The 19,083-nt window shown below is 39.2% G+C and overlaps 1 pseudogene across 1 annotated transcript in view; it reads left to right on the forward strand.

Moving 5' to 3' along the window:
• The window catches only part of LOC101929950 (puromycin-sensitive aminopeptidase-like protein), a 40,103-nt pseudogene that overhangs the window by 12,686 nt on the left and 8,334 nt on the right, over positions 1 to 19,083 (forward strand). Inside the window, exon 2 of the transcript NR_164156.1 lies at positions 10,456 to 10,533. The product of NR_164156.1 is annotated as a puromycin-sensitive aminopeptidase-like protein (transcript). The remainder of the gene's footprint in view (positions 1 to 10,455; positions 10,534 to 19,083) is intronic.

The raw sequence follows: 19,083 nt of genomic DNA on the forward strand, positions 1-19,083 counted from the left end.
GGAGGCGGACGGAGGTTGCAGTGAACCGAGATTGCGCCATTGCATTCCAGCCTGGACAACAGAGCGAGACTCCATCTCAAAAAAGAGGGAAAAAAAAAAAAGACAGGGTCTTGCTCTGTCACCCAGGCCAGAGTGCAGTGACAGGATCGCAGCTTACTGCAACCTCAAACTCCTGAACTCAAGTGATCTTCCCACCTCAGCCTCCTGAGTAGCTGGAACTACAGATATACGCTACCATGGTGCCTGGCTAATTTTTTTTAGTAGAGATGGGGTCTTGCTTTGTTGCCTAGGCTGGTCTCGAACTCCTGGCTTCAAGGGATTCTCTCACCTCAGCCTCCCAAAGTGTTGGGATTACAGGCATGAGACACCGTGCCTGGCCTGTTTTTTCTTATTACATATTTTTGTTCTAGAATTAATTTTTCCAGATTTGCTTGTTTTCTTTGTTTTGCTTGGTTTTGGGTTTTTTTGGGGGTTTTGTTTGTTTGTTTGTTTTTTTAAAGTAACTTCGCGTTACTTGCCAAATTTTTCAGGATTGGGATTTTATATTTTTGAACATAGTAAGCAGGTATATGAATAGTTTGCTAGTATCTAGGGGAGCTTTGTTTTGTTCCCCGTTGGTTACTAATACTTAAGGTTCATCTTTTTCCAGTGTCTGGGCTTCAGATGTTCAGAAGTTTAATCACATTCCACTTGTGGACTGCTTTTCTTCTTGTTCATCTTTCCTGGTAGGATATCACTTTTTTGGTTTCAAGCCCAAAGGAGGGGGTCATTTACTCAAGCTTCTTGTCTTGTCTTGTCTTGTCTTGTCTCTTCTAATAGAGATAGAGTCTCACTGTGCTACCTAGATAGACTATGTTACTTAAACTCCTGGGCTTAAGCAGTCCTTCCACCTCGCCTCCCAAAATGCTGGGATTACAGACACAGTGCCCACCCAGCCACAAAGCCCCCAGTGTTGATGGGCCCTGGATTTCCACTTTTGTCCCTGGGGCCTATAGCCTCAGCTTCCAAATCTGCTACATCTCTGCTAGATCAGCAAATGACCCCAGAGCAAAAGTGGCCTAGAATGCAAAGCTTCCTCTTTATGGAATTTCATCCTCTTCTTCATCTTGATCACCTTATCTTGTTCTATGATTCTTTTAAGGAGAAGTTTTCCCTTCCTTCCAGCTTTTTTAGTTTTGTGGGTGTCAAGTAGGAGAGAGATAATTAGTTTGAATTATATACTCCTCTATTACCCAAATATAAAATCCTTTAAAAAAAAAAAAGATAAACTGAGACCTAGACAAATTAAGTAACCGTGTAAGACCACATAATCAATGGAAATCCTGGTCCAGAATCCTGAGTGATTTTAATGAAATAGTTCACAGTCATTTATTAAGAGCAGGGGCACCCTAGAAGGAATTTTTTGATTCTGTTGAACCAGATTTATATTTGGCACATGCTCATTCTTTTTAGACTTTTTAGATAGCCTAATAGGATAGAACCATCACTATGTTATATAAATGTGAAATCCATTTGAAAATATGGGACCTGTCAGTATAGGTACTGCTTGAACTGTAACTATGCATATATCTGATTGGCTTTTATGCCCTACGGTGAGAAGGAGGTCACCTTGAAGCTTTGCAAAGTAAGTTCTTGGTTCCATTTTTCACTTGAATCCCCCTTGGATATCCTCCAGAATGATGTGTTTTCTTTCCCATTGCAACATTATTTTCAGCTTTGTGGAGAAACAAAGTATGTTCCAAGTAGCAGGTAGTCACTGTAGGCCTTCTTTGAACTGTGAACTTTATTTTTTTGCACCTGAACTGCTTTCTAAAACCACATAAACAATATGATAGGGAAGTTGCTATCTGAATAAAAAAACAAAATAAAACCTCACAATGTGTTTGATCTAGTACTGAGCTACACTGGTATATGTGGGCTATATAGAATTATGTGGTTTAGATTACTTGTTTAAGTATAGCAGTGGCTTGGAGGAAAATACATTCTGAGTTTCAAATAGATAATTTGTAAAGGAAAATTTGAAGTACAGTTGACTTGGCACTTCTGATATTGAAATTTTAGAAGATTTTATTTCTGTATCTCAATGTAATGCCTAGGCAGAATCCACTAGATGCTTGTATAGATGGTATAAGCAATAATGATTTCAGCTATTTTAAAAAATTTCAATCTTTTTTTAATGTTGCCTCTTGAAATACCATCTTGTACTTCTCATTTTCCCTATACCTCCTTTTATGTGATTAAGTTTTATTATGTATAGACATAAAGGGGGCCTGGCACAGTGGCTCATGCCTGCAATCCCAGCATTTTGGGAGGCCAAGGCACAAGGATTGCTTGAGCCCAGGAGTTCAAGACAAGCCTACGCAATGCAGTGAGACCCTGTCTCAAACAAAAAAAAAAAAAAAAAAAAAAAAGGTTGGGGAGGGTGCTATGATATTATGATACATATGTTGGTTTTCATCCACAGTTTCTGTCATAGAACACCCATAGTCCCTGTTATTTCCTAAGTGACTAAAACAATATACATATATTTTATTGAAATATTTGGCCTTTTATTCTTGGTTTTTGAAGTGGCTTCAGTACAGCTTCAGATCAATAAAAGTGAAAGATGGTCTTTTGTAATAACGTTGGGGCACTTTAAACCTCAGAAGCAGGCTTCAGAAAACAGAATCGCTCTCTGACCTTTTCTTGCCTTGCTTTTACCTGCTCCTTTTTCTCCCCAAGCAGGCAATAGAAACTAAAAATATACTCTGATCATCCCCCAACATTCTGTCTTGGAGCTGACAGCAAAGAAATTATCTGACCTACCTTGTCTGATTGGAGGTCATAAGACCCCCATTTCAGAAGGCATCCTGCCCTGTACTTGGGAGGAAAGAAGTTGCACAGAGAGGCCAAGAAGACTCTGAACAGAGAGGCCTTGCTAGGTTTCCCCACTCAGTCTGTTAGCATTAGGTCCTACTTTGTCCAATCATATTTCTACCCGGTTGTCCATGCTTCAGTCGTGACGGTCCAGTGAAGTCCTGGACCGGGTACAGAGAGCTTCCAGATAGCTGAACACGTGGAGGGTCCTGGAGGGTGGTGCACCCAGGGAGGGTATGAGAGCTCTGCACCCCTTCCCACATGCCTTGTTCTGTGCACCTCTTCATCTGCATTCTTTGTGCTATTCTTTATAATAAACCAGTACACGTGTTTTCCTGAGTTCTGGGCACAGCTTTAGCAAATTAATCAAACCTAAGAAGGGGGTCATGGGAACACTGACTTGAAGCTGGTTGGCCAGAAGTTCTGGATGAGGCCTGGCCTTACAACTAGTGTCTGAAGTGGGGGCAGTCTTGTGAGACTGAGCCCTCTCTCAGCCTGTGGGATCTAATGCTATCTCCAGGTAGATAGCATGAGAATTGAATTGGATTAGAAGGTGCTCAGCTGGTGGTATCTTCTGCAGAACTGATTGCTTCTTGTTGGTGGGGAGAAATCCCCACACATTTGGTCACAGAAGTCTACTGTGTTGATGATTGTGGTGTAAGAGCAGAGGAAAAGCAATTTGATTTTTCTCCACAAGGGGAAGAAAATGTTTCATGATTCAACTAATGATTTACCTTTCATTGTAAGGTTATCATGCTCAAGTATTAATGTAGGAAGGCTTTTTTGATGCAGAGTGTGTGTGTGTGTGTGTGTGTATATACGTGTGTGTTTGTAGAGGGCTAACATTAAAAAGGGAAATGTAATAAGGAAGAAGAAATGGTGTTCTAAACTTAAAACCCATTTCATCTGCTAAATCGTCCTAGTGAAATACCAACTTTAGTTAATTTTAAAAAAAGTTTAGTTAATTGTAAAAAAAAAAAGAATCTCTTCATTATATTTTAAAAACCATTTGTGTTTCCTTTTTCTGTAATTTATTCATATTTGTCCATTTTAAATTTCAGTGTTATTCTTATTCTTGTTATTGATTTTTTAAAACGTGGTCTTTATATTTGAGTGAAATTAACCTTCCATCATGAGTTGGAGCATTTTTTCCCCAATATATACTTCTCTTTTGATTTTGCTTATGGTCATTTTATAATGCCATGGTTTTTTTTGTTGTTTGTTTTTTTTTTTTTTTTTTTGAGACGGAGTCTCGCTCTCTCAGCCAGGCTGGAGTGCAGTGGCGTGATCTCAGCTCACTGCAACCTCCACCTCCCCGTTTCAAGCGATTCTCCTGCCTCAGCCTCCCGAGTAGCTGGGATTACAGGCGTGCACCACCACGCCTGGCTAATTTTTGTATGTTTAGTAGTAATGGAGTTTCACCATGTTGGACAGGCTGGTCTCAGACTCCTGACCTCAGGTGATCTGCCCATCTTGACCTCCCAAAGTCCTGGGATTACAGGCATGAGCCACCATGCCCAGCCTGGTCATGGTTTTATACATGCTATGTTTATAATCAAATTTTACTTCTATTTAATAGATGACTAACACACTTACACATAGATGCTTATACCCAAATATATATGTTTATAGATTTTAAAATGCTAATTATATTTAAAAGGCCTAATAAGGAGTTTCAGCAAAAGCTGTTATATATATGTATATAATGGACCAATTGCAGTTGGATCAATAAAGAACTGTAAGGTGTGTTATGATCTAGAAAAGTGATTCTTTTTTTTTTTTGAGATGGAGTCTTGCTCTGTTGCCCATGCTGGAGTGCAGTGGCACGATCTCGGCTCACTGCAAGCTCCGCCTCCCGAGTTCACGCCATTTTCCTGCCTCAGCCTCCTGGGTAGCTGGGACTACAGGCACGTGCCACCACACCCAGCTAATTTTTTGTATTTTTAGTAGAGACGGGGTTTCACCATGTTGGCCAGGATGGTCTCGATCTCTTGACCTCGTGATCCGCCCTCCTTGGCCTCCAGAAGTGCTGGTATTACAGGCGTGAGCCACTGCTCCCGGCCCTGAAAAGTGTTTCTTAACAATAACTAGGAACTGTGCTGTGTGTTTTATATAAGAGTATATTATATAATTTTTTTTTTCTTTGAGATGGAGTCTCACTCTGTTGCCCAGACTGAGTGCAGTGGTGCGATCTCAGCTCACTGCAGCCTCTACCTCCCAGGTTCAAGCGATTCTCCTGCCTCAGCCTCCCAAGTAGTTGGGATTACAGGCGCACGCCACCATGCCCTGCTAATTTTTGTATGTTTAGTTTTACCATGTTGGCCAGGCTGGACTCAAACTCCTGACCTCAAGTGATCCTCCCACCTCGGTCTCCCAAAGTGCTGGGATTACAGGTGTGAGCCACCGTGCCTGGCCCCCAATCTTTAATTAAGAAGCAGGTGCCAGGCACAATGGTATACTCCTATAATCTCAGCTACTCAGGAGGCTGAGGTGGGAGGATTGCCAGTGCTTGAGCCCGGGAGTTTGAGACCAGCCTGAACAACATAGTGAGACCCTTATCTCAATTTTAAAAAGAAAGAATTAGGTAATGATATGATTTTAATTTTATAGGTGTGGAAACGGAGGCTTAGAGAATTGAATAATCATATATACCTTATAAGATTCTCTCATACTCCATTTTTAAAAGTTTTCGATCAAGTTTAAGTTGTATTGATACACGATATATAGTGAAGTGTCTATGTACAATGCTTAATTTACATATATATACATTTCCAATTATGAATATATTGCAAACTGTATTAGTGAATGAATTATTCATTTATCATATCAGTATTATATATTACTATAATATATAAATATACTAATTATATATTAGTATTAATGTAAACATTAATTTAGAAATACTTTTTTCTCCAGTGAAGCCTCCTCAGACTTCTCATATGCATCTTCAGTATTTATGGGTTTCTACCCTTTAAACAATCTAACAGTTCCAGAGCAAATATTATCTTCTAAGAGGTTTGAGATAGATCCTTATTTGAATCAGTATATTATGTTGTGACTGGAAATTTTATCCCTAGCCATGTCTCTATTCACATAACATTAGTAAATGTGATTTTTCATTAATATATTTCATATGAGTAGCATTAATGATCTCCATGACATAATTACTTAGTCTGTTGCTTTTGAAGTGATTCATTCATTCTACAGATACTTACTGAACACACACTATGTGCCAGAAACTGCTAGCATTGGAAGTAGAGCTGTGAACAAAATCAAGCATCAACATTTCTGATATTTGAGAAGACAGGCAACAAGCAAATATGTGATGTAAAGTAGTGATAAGTGCTGTAAAATCACAAGAGGGTATAGAATGAGGATTGTTCTTCAAGTTGATAGAACAGATCTTTAAAGAAGTGATTTGAGGCTGGGCGTGGTGGCTTACACCTGTAATCCCAACACTTTGGGAGGCCGAGGCGGGTGGATCATGAGGTCAAGAGACTGAGACCATCCTGGCCAACGTGCTGAAACTCCGTCTCTACTAAAAATACAAAAATTAGCCAGGCGTGGTGGTGCGTGCCTGTAGTCCCAGCTACTCGGGAGGCTGAGGCAGAAGTGCTTGAACCCGGGAGGCGGAGGTTGCAGTGAGCCAAGATCATGCCACTGCATGCCAGCCTGGGCGACAGAGCAAGACTCCATCTCAAAAAAAAAAAAAGATGATTCGAGGCTTCGTGTGGTGGTTCATGCCTGTAATCCCTGCACTTTGGGAGGCTGAGGCAGGAGGATCGCTTGAGCTCGGGAGTTTGAGGCCAGCCTGGGCAACATGGTGAAACCCCATGTCTATAAAAAATACAAAAATTAGTCGGGTGTGATGGTGGGCGCCTGTAGTCCCAGCTATTTGGGAGGCTGAGGTGGGAGGAACACTTGAACCTGAGAGGTCAAGGTTGCAGTGAGCCAAGATGGCAGCACTGTACTCCAGGTTGGGCAACAGAGTGAGACCCTGTCTCAAAAAAAAAAAAAAAAAAGTGATTTGAGCAGAGGCCTGAATGACATAAAGTGTTTAGATATCTGGAGACTTTGCAAGCAGATGCAGAAACCCTGGGGTTGGAAAATGCTTACAGTCTGAATAGTAAAAGAGGCACCACCAGCATGACTTCTAGTTATTGTGCTACACCCTGCACATTTTTTTTTCTTTTTCGAGACAGGGTCTCACTCTGTCACCTAGATGGGAGTGCAGTGGCATGTTCATGGCTCACTCCAGCTTCAACCTCCTAGGCTTCAGCAATGCTCTTGCCTCAGCCTTTGGAGTAGCTGGGACCACAGGTTTGTGTCACCACGTATGACTAATTTTTTTTTATTTTTCCTGTGTTGCCCAGGTTGGTTTTGAACTCCTGGGTTCAGGTGATCCTCCTGCCTTGGCCTCCCAAAGTGCTGGGATTCCAGGCAAGAGCCACCATGCCTGGCCCTGGGCAACATTTTTATTGTCAGTCATTTAATAGCCTAGTCTAATGGATGTGTAGTGATATGTCATTGTGATTTTAATTTGCCTTTCCTTAATGGCTAATGATGCTGAACACTTTTTTATGTGCTTTTTTTTTTTTGCCATTTATAAATTTTCCTTTGTGAAGTTTAAGTCTTGCCATTTTTAAATTGGGTTGTTTACCTTTTTATTCAACAGCTGTAGGTTTTTTGTTTTTTTTTTTTTGATACAGAGTCTCACTCTGTCTCCAGGCTGTAGTGCAGTGGCACATCTTGGCTCACTGCAACCTCCGTTCCCAGGTTCAAGTGATTCTCCTGCCTCAGCCTCCCAAGTAGCTGAGATAACAGGCATGCACCACCACGCATGGTCCACCCACCTCGGCCTCCCAAAGTGCTGGGATTACAGGCGTGAGCCACTGCGCCCAGCCCAGAAAGGAACATTCTTAAGCATTGAAGTGATTCTTGTCAAATTTGATTTCTATTCAAATTTAGGAGCTGGGCCAGGCACGGTGGCTCAGCCCTGTAATCCCAGCACTTCGGGAGGCTGAGGTGGGTAGATTGCCTGAATCCAGGAGTTTGAGACCAGGCTGGACAACCTGGGGAAACCCCTGTCTCTACTAAAAATACAAAAGATTAGATGGGCCTAGTGGCACCTCACGCCTGTAGTCCCCAGCTACCCCGGAGGCTGAGGTGGGAGAATCTCCCGAACCTGATGGGAAAGGTAGCAGTGAGTTGAGATAGTGCCACTGTACTCCAGCCTGGGCAACAAAGTGAGACCCTGTCTCAAAAAACAAAACAAAACCAAACAAATGTAGGAGCTAGCTTGTGATTGTAGAAATAATTTTGGCAATAGAAGTGAAGGAACTGAGTTGTAGTCTAGCTAGTTAACATGTGACAAACCATTAACTTTATATGTCTCATTTTCTTCATCTGTAAAATGAGGAAGATTTGATTAGAGGATTTATTAAAGTTCTTTTAAAATCTGAAATTACAGTTTCTTAATTGGTTTTGTAGAGATTTTGGCTTTATAAAAATGTGTGAACCATAGTGACAGCAGAAACATTTGAAATCCTATATTTGGGTGATTCATAAAAGAAAGGAAGAATTATGGGCATCTTGCCTGTAAAATGTTATGTAATCTGAATCATTGTTACCCACAGCATCCTGTGACTGATAAAGGTACTCATGGCCACCTCTCCTCCCTTGTCTTTCTGTAGTACTTTCCTTTCTCCCCACCTCAATAATAGCTTTATTGATGTATAATTCACATACCATACATGTCATCTATTAATATTTAAAGCATACAATTCAGCGGTTTTTAGTCTATTTACAGAGTTGTACAGCCATCATCACAATCAATTTTAGAACACTTTCTGAACTCCAGAAAGAAAGTACCCTGCCTATTTCCCCTCTATCACCTAGCCCTAGGCAACTATGAATCTACTTTCAGCCTCCATAGATTGCCCTGTTATGGACAAATATGTGGCTGGTTTCTTAGTATAATGTTTTCAAGGTTATTTACATTGTAGCATGTGTCAGCTATTTCATTTCTTTTTATTGTCAAATAACATTCAGTTGTATGGATATACCACATTTTATCTATTCCATCAGTTGATGGACATTTGAGTTGTTTTCATTTTGGGATTATTATAAATAATGCTACTATGAACATTTGTATACAAACATTATGTGGACATGTGTTTTCATTTCTCTTGGACATATACTTAGGAATGGGATTGCTGTATCACATGATACCTCTGTATTTAACCTTTTGAGGAATTGCCAAACTGTTTTCCAAAAGTGGCTGCACCATTTACATTCCCACTATCAATATATGCTCCAGTTTCTCTACATCCTACCTTATACTTTTTTTTTTTTTTTCTTTTTTTGAGACAGAGTCTCGCTCTGTCGCCCAGGCTGGAGTACAGTGGCACAATCTCGGCTCACTGCAACCTCCGCCTCCTGAGTTCAAGCAATTCTAAATTATCATGCCTCAGCCTCCCGCATAGCTGGGGTTAGAGGCGTTTGCCACCATGCCTGGCTAAGTTTTATATTTTTAGTAAAAATGGGGTTTCGCCATGTTGGCCAGGCTGTTCTCGAACTCTTGACCTCAGGTGATCCACACGCCTCGTCCTCCCAAAATGCTGGGATTATAGGTGTGAGCCACCATGTCCGGCCTGATTGGCCAGCTTTTCATTTGGAATGGGGATAGGACATAGTTGGAAGTTGGTGTCTTTGGTTATTTCCCTAACATGTCCAAGCATCCTAAAGTATCAGTCAAATAAGCAGTCTCTTCTCATTCCTGGCAGAGAGTAAGTCAAAGCCTTAATTCAATTTGCATACCTGTTTTCATGTAACAACAAATAATTTTTTTTTTTTTGAGACAGAGTTTCTCTGTTGTTGTTTAGGCTGGAGTGCAATGATGCGATCTTGGCTCACTGCAACCTCTGCCTCCCGGGTTCAAGCGATTCTCCTGCCTTAGCCTCCCAAGTAGCTGAGATTATAGGCATGCACCACCACAGCCGGCTAGTTTTGTATTTTTAGTAGAGACGGGGTTTCTCCGTGTTGGTCAGGCTGGTCTTGAACTCCTGACCCCAGGTGACCCGCCTGCCTCGGCCTCCCAAAGTGCTGGGATTACAGGCGTGAGCCACCACGCCTGGCCACAACAAAGAATTTTACCAGAAGTGGGTATGATTTATATCTTAGTTTGAATTGCTACTTACCTTTGGGGAACAGACCTTTCCTTGATGTATCTTTAACACTGAAATCTTGGCAAGTTGCCAAGTCTCAAATGTTCATGAGTAAGACTGCAATATCACAATATCATAGTCACACAGGAATCTGATAGAAAAGCATCACATTTATAAAGCCTTCTTTCCTGTACATCACTGACATTTTGTGAATTTTAAAGAATTTGTAATTATTTTTAAGGAGCATATTTAATGTAGTTAATGTAACCTAGAATAGGCTCATTTGAAATGAAACTCTTGCTAATAGGAACTTAATTCACCAAATTAAGAATATTTAGTTTTTGTAGAGATTTTGCTCTTGAAAATGTTGCAGTCTTGATTTCGTCTTGTCAGTCCAGTCAGAATTGTGAAGTATTTTTTTTTCTCATTCCAGAAATACATGCTACAGGATTTAACTATCAGAATGAAGATGAAAAAGTCACCTTGTCTTTCCCTAGTACTCTGCAAACAGGTAAGAGACATAGCTTTTGTAAAATCTCGTGATGAATATAGTGACATCTGACTTCCTCCAGAGAAATTTATTGTATGCCATTTTTTCCCTCGTTGTTATTAGCAGATTAAGTATTAAGAGCTTTTTTTTTTTTTTTACTTTGAGACGGAGTCTTACTCTATTGCCCAGGCTGGAGAGTAGTGGCATGATCTTGGCTCACTACAACCTCCACCTTCCAGGTTCGAGTGATTCTCCTGCCTCGGCCTCCCGAGTAGCTGGGATTACAGGTGCCTACCACCACACCGGCTAATTTTTTTGTATTTTTAGTAGAGACAAGGTTTCGCCATGTTGGCCAGGCTGGTCAGGCTGGTCTTGAACTCCTGATCTCAAGCGATCTGCCCGCCCTGGCCTCCCAAAGTGGTAGGATTACAGGCAGGAGCCACCGCGCCCAGCTGTATTAAGAGCTTTTTAAAGAGGTTTGTTGCAACTTTTGGGCCACCAGCATTTCCTTCTGCGGAAGTTGGGCTACGAAAAGCAGGGTTTCCACCTCCTGTCACTCTATATTCTCTTTAAACAAACAAGCCAAGAAAAACAGGACAAAAACTAAAGATCATTCTATCCTAGAATGTAATGTATTGTTTTCCAGTTTTACCTTTTTAAAAATACCTTTACCTAGGCCAGGCGTGGTGGCTCACACCTGCAATCCTAGCGCTTTGGGAGGCCAAGGCGGGCTGATCACTTGAAGCCAGGAGTTAGGGACCAGCCTGGCCAACATGGCAAAACCCCATCTCTACCAAAAAATACAAAAATTACCCAGTGTGGTGGCTCATCCCTATAATCCCAGCTACTCAGAAGGCTGAGGCAAGAAAATCGCCAGAAGTCAGGAAGTGGAGGTTGCAGTGAACCGAGATCATGCCACTGCACTCCAGCCTGGGTGATAGAGTGGGACTCTGTCTAAAACAAACGAACAAAATACTTTTACCTAGCTCCATCTTCTATTAATTCAATCCAAATCCCTGAAGTGAATGGTCACAGATGATTTTGATATACAACCAGAGATCAAATAGGTATTGTGTTATTGAGGGCACAGAAAGAAAGATACGTTGATATGTTACTATTGTTAGGTATAAAAGCACAAAGAAATAGACTTTCTGAGCTTAGTATATGTGGAAGAAATTATATACCAATCAATTGGTGAAGTACTAAGACTTTGATGAATGAACAAATGAAAAGGAACAGATAATTCAAAAGGAAGAAAATGTAAATGACTAATAAACATGTGAAAAGATATTGAGCCTCCTAGTAATGAGAAATTTTTGCTTCTCATGTGAGCTGAAATTTTAAAAATTCCCAATGATATGGCTGCCTTGATATCGCTGGGGGGAGTATAAATCCATGTAATTTTTTTGTAAAGCATTCTGGCAGTATATCAAGAGCCTAAATATGTTCATGTCCTTTGACCCAGCAATTCTGCTAATAGGAATATATCCCAAGGAAAAGTCATAAATACAGAAAATACTTTATGCCCAGAAGTGTCTGAGATATTACTTACGGTAGTAAAAAATTATAATTAATATATTTGTTCAACACTAAGGAAATGATCAAGCCAGGAATGATATATCTATATAGTGAAATATACTTAGCAATTAAAAGTGAGGTTTGCGAATTCTTAACCCTGTAAAGTGCTTATTATAATGTAAAATTGAAAAGAAGAATATAAAATTACATATTTAAGGTGGTGAATCATGTCTCTAAATGGCACAAATAAAATGATAATTATGTCTGGGTGTTGACATAATTGGTGATTTTTATTCTTATTTATATCTTTTGTCTGATTTTCACAATTTTCCTACTGAGAATCTATTGAATTAATATAAAATTATTTTTAGAAAAAATTTAAATTGGAGATGTTTAGTCTTTTATTTCAGTGCTCTTGGAGGCCCTTTATGTGTAATTATTATAAAAATAAATGGGCCGGGCGTAGTGGCTCACGCCTGTAATCCCAGCACTTTGGGAGGCCGAGGCGGGCGGATCACGAGGTCAGGAGATCGAGACCATCCTGACTAACACGGTGAAACCCTGTCTCTACTAAAAATACAAAAAATTAGCTGGGAATGGTGGCAGGTGCCTGTAGTCCCAGCTACTCGGGAGGCTGAGGCAGGAGAATGGCGTGAACCCGGGAGGTGGAGCTTGCAGTGAGCCGAGATCGCACCACTGCACTCCAGCCTGGGTGGCAGAGTGAGACTCCGTCCCAAAAAACAAAACAAAACAAAACAAAAAATGCTTTGCCATGAACATGTATTAAAAGCTATTGAAGAATATAATTTGAAAAGGAAGGAGATTCTTTCGCTGATTTCTTCTACTTCCATTGTCTGGTGAATCTGTCTAGAAATATTCCTATGTATATATAAATTTATGTATATAATTTAACCCACAGATAGGATCACAAATCTCAGTGGCTTATAACCACTGAGATTTCTTTCTTTTTTACACATGGGCCATGAGGACTGCTGATCATATGCAGCCATATCACCAACTCTGCTGGCTCCACTTGGCTCCCAACTGTCTTTCCAGGACTAGTAGTCAGCGAGCAGCCACTCTCTGTATCATGCATGGCAGAGGGCAGAGGCTCAGGGATGGGGAGAAAGCTAGACCACAAAGACACATTTAAAACTTCTGCATGGCCAGGCGTGGTGACTCACACCTGTAATCCCAGCATTTTTGGAGGCTGAGGCAGGAGGATTGCTTGAGCCCAGGAGTTCGAGACCAGCCTAGGCAATGTAGTGAGACCCTGTCTCTATAAAAAATAAAATAAAAAATAAAATTTCTGTGTGATGGTGGTATACTTGATGTCTACTCACATTTCATTGACCAAAGCAAGTAGCATGACCAAGCCCAAAGTCACTGGGGTAGCATTTAACAGACATTTGCGAAAAGTTTCTAATGAAAGATAGGGCAAAAAGCAAAATTATAAGTATAATAGAAATAAAGGAAGTTGGAAAAAGCAAAGACAAATCTAAAGAAAGTTAAAAAAAAAACAAACCCATAGCTAATTACTATCCTTAGAGAGTTAAGAGAAAGCATTGCGTGCATTAAACAAGGACAGGACAGAATGCCATCAGATAGGAAGAATTACAGCAGGAAAACTTGGAAATTATGATAGGTATAAAAAACCCAGTAAAAGTGTTAAAGATGAAGTTGAGGAAACTTCCAAGCAGTAGAAAAAACAGATAGAAAACAGAAAAATAGATTTGAGAACCAGTCCAGCAGAACCAACATCCATCTAGTAAAACAGAAAGCAGAGGAAATGGGAAGAGGATTTTTTAATTTTCATTTTTGCAACAGAATCTTGCTCTGTCACCCAGGCTGGAGTGCAGTGGTGCAATCTCGGCTCACCACAGCCTCCACCTCGTGGGTTCCAGTGATTCTCCTGCCTCAGCCTCCTGGGTAGCTGAGATTACAGGCACACACCACCACGCCCAGCTGATTTTTGTATTTTTAGTAGAGTTGGGGTTTCACCATGTTGGCCAGGCTGGTCTCGAACTCCGGACCTTAGGTGATGTGCCCACTTCGGCCTCTCAAAGTGCTAGGGATTACAGGCGTGTGCCACTGTGCCCGGCCAGAAGAGAAACTCAAAAAGACAGGAACATTTCCTTGAACTGATAGAGCAGGAGCCTTCAGTTTGCAAAGGTACACCATTGAGAGAGACTAGCTTAAAAAATGTAAAAATTGCCACACTGACTGAAATTTTAGAACTTCTGCGATAAAGTAAAACTCCCAGAAAGTTCCTGTCTGGGATAGGGGGCAATAGGAGGGAAGGCAGGTGGCATACTACCTTTAAAATTTAGGAATCAGAATAGTCCTAGACTTACCATTAGGAACAGTGGAAACTTAGACTCTAATGAAGCTGTTCATTCAAAATACAAAGTGAATCTGATTTTCAACCTAAGATTGCATGCTTAGCCCAACTTTGAATTTCGGAGTAAAAATATTTTCAGATTTGCAAGGTCATAGAAAATTTGATTCTTTGTAAAAGATATTGGAGTGGGGGATGGATTAGCTAAAGCATGACTTTCTACAGTGAAGAGAAAATGTCTAAAGTTGAAAAATGAAGAAATAGGCCGTGGTCGTGGCTCATGCCTGTAATCCCAACACTTTGGGAGGCTGAGGTGGGAGGATTGCTTGCCCAGGAATTGAAGGCTGCAGTGAGCCGTGATTGTACCACTGCCCTCGAGCCTGGGCGACAGAGCAAGACTGTCTCAAAGAAAGGAAAAGAAAAAATAGCTGTGTAAGCAAGACATTTAGAAGTCACAGAGTTTGAAATTGATTGCTTCTAGGGGCAGGGTGTGGGGAGTAGGGCCTAGTGTTGAGCAGGGCCTGGAGCTTACGTATTTTAAACTGTGAACTATTACTTTGATAGAAATTTAAAAAATTTTAGAGTTTTAAATCTATATCATTACAGACTATATATATTCTGTGTTTACACTGTGAAAAAATTAGAAGTCAATAGAAAAAGAGAAATGAAAAAAATCCCTTTTTATATATTTGAAAAAATTATACCTCTGAATAATTGAGTCAAAGAAGACTTGTTATGGAAATTAGAAAATATTTAGAACTGAATAATGAAATTACCACATATGAAACATTAGGGATAAACATGTTTCATATGCAGATAAAATATTAGAATATTTAGTTAAGAAGAAAGACTGAAAATTAATTAGCTAAGCATTAAACTCATAAAAACAAAAGGTAACTTGGAGAAAGTAGAAGAAAGTTTTAAGAGCAGAAACAAATGAAATAAGTGAAGTGAGGGGCAGAAATATTAAAAAACTGATATTTAAAAATAGTCCCAAAAGATATATAAACCTAGCCAGTATAGAAAATAAAAGCGTAGATTGAATTGTTGTTCAGCATTAGGAAATATGGTAACCATTTTTCATTAAATTTAAAAAGTTAAACATTCTATATTTATCAAAAGGAATCAGTTTATTTGCTAGAATTCACCAGGGAAGAGTAGACAGAAACTTCTAACATGATAGAAGATATGTATTACACACACACACACACACACACACACACACACGACATAATCTGTGCCAAGTACTGTTTTAAGTGCCTCAAAAATATTAATTTATTTAGTCCTTTCAACAACCTTTTGAGGTAGATTTGTTTTGTGACAAAGTCTCTCTGTCACCCAGGCTGGAGTATAGTGGTGCAGTCACGGCTCACTGCAGCCTCAAACTCCTGGGTTTAAGTGATTCTCCCACTTCAGCCTCCCATGTAGCTAGGACTGCCTACACATGACAGTGCATCTGGTTAATTTTTAAATTTTTTTGTAGAGACAGGGTCTCGTTATGTTGCCTAGGCTGGTCTCAAATGCCTGGCCTCAGGTGATCCTCCTACCTCAGAGAGAGGATCTTGCCATCCTCCCAAATGTTGAGATTACAGGCATGAGCCACTACGCCAGCCAGATTCTGTTACTTCTATTTTGTAGATAAACTAAGGCAGAAAAATGATTTCAGTAACTTAAATAATTTGTCCAAGGTAACATAGCTAGTAAGTAACATAGCTGGGATTTAAACCCAAGCAGTTTAACTCAAAAGTCTGCACTTTTAACCACCACATTGTGCTATCTTTATTTTTCAAATTAAATATTTCAAAAACATAGTACATTTACATAATTTGAAATTCAAATGCTATGCAATGAAATTTTGTTTGCCAGTCTACCCTGTCTTCTTTCTCAGCTCCATTCCTCAACAGAATGAAATGAAATTTTCCTTTCAAAACTATACCCTGCTTTTGTAAGCATTTATATATATACTTTTTAAGAACACAGAAATCACCATGCCATACATAATGTTCTGCACCTTTCTTCTTTTCCCCTTAACTGTAAATATTGGAGGCCATTTATTACTAGTATATAAGAGATGTATCATTCTTGATAAGGTCTGTTTACAGCAGACATGCTAAATGGTGAAGCTATTTCAAATAATAACAAACAAGTTAGAGAAGGTTATGACCATTAGTATAGTATGATTTAACATAATTTTTGATATTTTTGGCCAATATAACAATTTTGAGCTAATATAACAACTGATATAAATATTAGAACAGAAAAATTATCTTGCAGGTGTGACAATATTGAATTATTATTATTATTATTTTTTGAGATGGAGTCTCGCTCTGTCGTCCAGGCTGGAGTGCAGTGGCGCGATCTCAGCTCACTGCAAGCTCTGCCTCCTGGGTTCATGCCATTCTCCTGTCTCAGCCTCCCGAGTAGCTGGGACTACAGCTGCCCGCCACCACGCCCGGCTAATTTTGTTTTTGTATTTTTAGTAGAGATGGGGTTTCACTGTGTTAGCCAGGATGGTCTTGATCTCCTGACCTCGTGATCCTCCCGCCTCGGCCTCCCAAAGTGCTGGAATTACAGGTGTGAGCCATCACGCCCAGCCGACAATATTGAATTATTGAATATCTGTTTGAAACCATTGGCTTTCACATTTTCCCAAGGTTTGCTTTAAAAATGAAGTTAATCTTTTTCAAGACAGATTGCACAAGTGATCTATCTGATAATGAAGCAAATACTGAGCTTATCTTAGGAGGACATTAATAACCTTTGTGTTTAGCCTCATCAAATTTAACAGTAATGCAAGCTATTATACAGCTAAGTAAAACCTACTTTTCTGAAATTGGCACCATTCTGGGATAGTGATTAAATTACCATAATTATTGTAAGGTCTAACAACCTTAGAATTAGTGGCTGAGGGTCCTGAGGGTGGCATTTATATGGAGAAACACTGGTAGTTGTCAGCATTTTGAAGAGTCAAAAACAAGATAATAAAAAGTGGTGACACATGGCGAAACCCTGTTTCTACTAAAAACAAAAATTAGTCAGGCCTGGTGGCGCACGCCTGTAGTTCCAGCTACTCAGGAGGCTGAGGCAGGAGAATTGCTTGAACCCGGGAGCCGAAGGTTGCAGTGAGCCGAGATTGCACCACTGCACTTTAGCCTGGGTGACAGACTGAGACTGAGACTCCATTTTCCAAAGAAAAAAAGAGGTGGTGACACAAAGGCAACGATCTTTATTCCCTTTTTGTATAAATTAATCTCTTTATTTTTATAGCATTTAGTAGACTCATTAAATTTCTTATTATTAAAGTATTTCAAGATTTACTCCAGGTTTTACAATTGTTATACTCTCCTAAGCTTTAAACATTTAAGGTTTTTGATGGAAGTCCCAATTTTTCAGTTGTTTACTTTATAAACGAGCTTGATGTATGTTTCAAAAGGTTTACAACCCCAAACATAAATATTTCATACATTGGATATGAAATAAGGTATCTAATTTGAGGAAGTGGTGTAAATTATGTGTGTTGATAGGTATAAAATTAGACAATTTGGCAATCCGTTCATTAATATGGTGTAAATTTGATAAATGAAATTTATTAAAAAGTCATTTTTTCTCCTACTTGCCCTAAAATTCTACTATATGAATAGTAAGTAAATACTTTGTAATTGGTATCATATAATGTGACACTAATTAAACTTATTAATGATTTTTAAATACTTTAACTTGTGTTTTGTTTGAATTTCAGGTAATAACTCTTTCCAATACTTTGTATTTTGTTTAGTATGCCACTTTTTGGAAGTGGTCACTGTCAATATCTTGTTATGGTTTGATGGCCTTGGAGATTTAAAACCGAGTAAAAGTGTAAGCAGTCTTTCTTATTTAGTTATGAGTTTTAAAACCACTTATGTTCCAACTAGGAAAAAATGCAAGTAGATTTACCATGAAATATGAATTATATTTAAAAAACATCTTAACAGTTGACTGACTTAGTGAAACAGACTGGGCAATTCCACTTATGGAATTGTAACATAAAATTCCATCATATAGTTTCCATTAAAGGTAGTAGGTTTTTATAATCTGTTAGACGTTCTTTGCAAACTTTATTAATGTGAATACATTTGCTTTTTTAAAAAAATTAAGTGAACTTCTAAAGAAAATAGAAATTAAAAATTTTTAATTTAAATTTTGCTTTATAGTTTAATTTTTTAGTATCATTTAGAATTATCAATTATTTTACTATATCCATATATACTGTCCCAGTAACCTGTCATTCTCTTTAAAGAAAAAAGTATTCATTGTCCTCTTTAGATATTTACAAATATCTGATTTCTAAAAAATAAACATCACAAATGTCTATTCAATTAAGCTTCAGTTGAGTTGTTTTTTTCTCAGAATGATTAAGAATATAGCACTTTCATTAGTGGTGACTTTGCTCTAAAGGTCTGAAATTTTCACTTAAATTACTTTCAGAACCAGTTTGAGGCATCAGGCTAGAGACAGTTTGTAGTTTGTCATTCACTTATTCTGTAGACTCGCACTCCCCATAACTTTTGGTCCTTTCCAAAAGCAAATTCAATTTTATAAGATGAAGATTTGACTTTGAGATCATTCAAAAGAGTGTCAGAGGGGCTGGGCACAGTGGCTCATGCCTGTAATCCCAGCACTTCGGGAGGCCAAGGTGGGTGGATCACTTGAGGCCAGGAGTTTAAGACCAGCTGGCC

This window comes from Homo sapiens, chromosome 17 (genome assembly GCF_000001405.40).
Source record: "Homo sapiens chromosome 17, GRCh38.p14 Primary Assembly".
Classification (NCBI taxonomy): domain Eukaryota; kingdom Metazoa; phylum Chordata; class Mammalia; order Primates; family Hominidae; genus Homo; species Homo sapiens.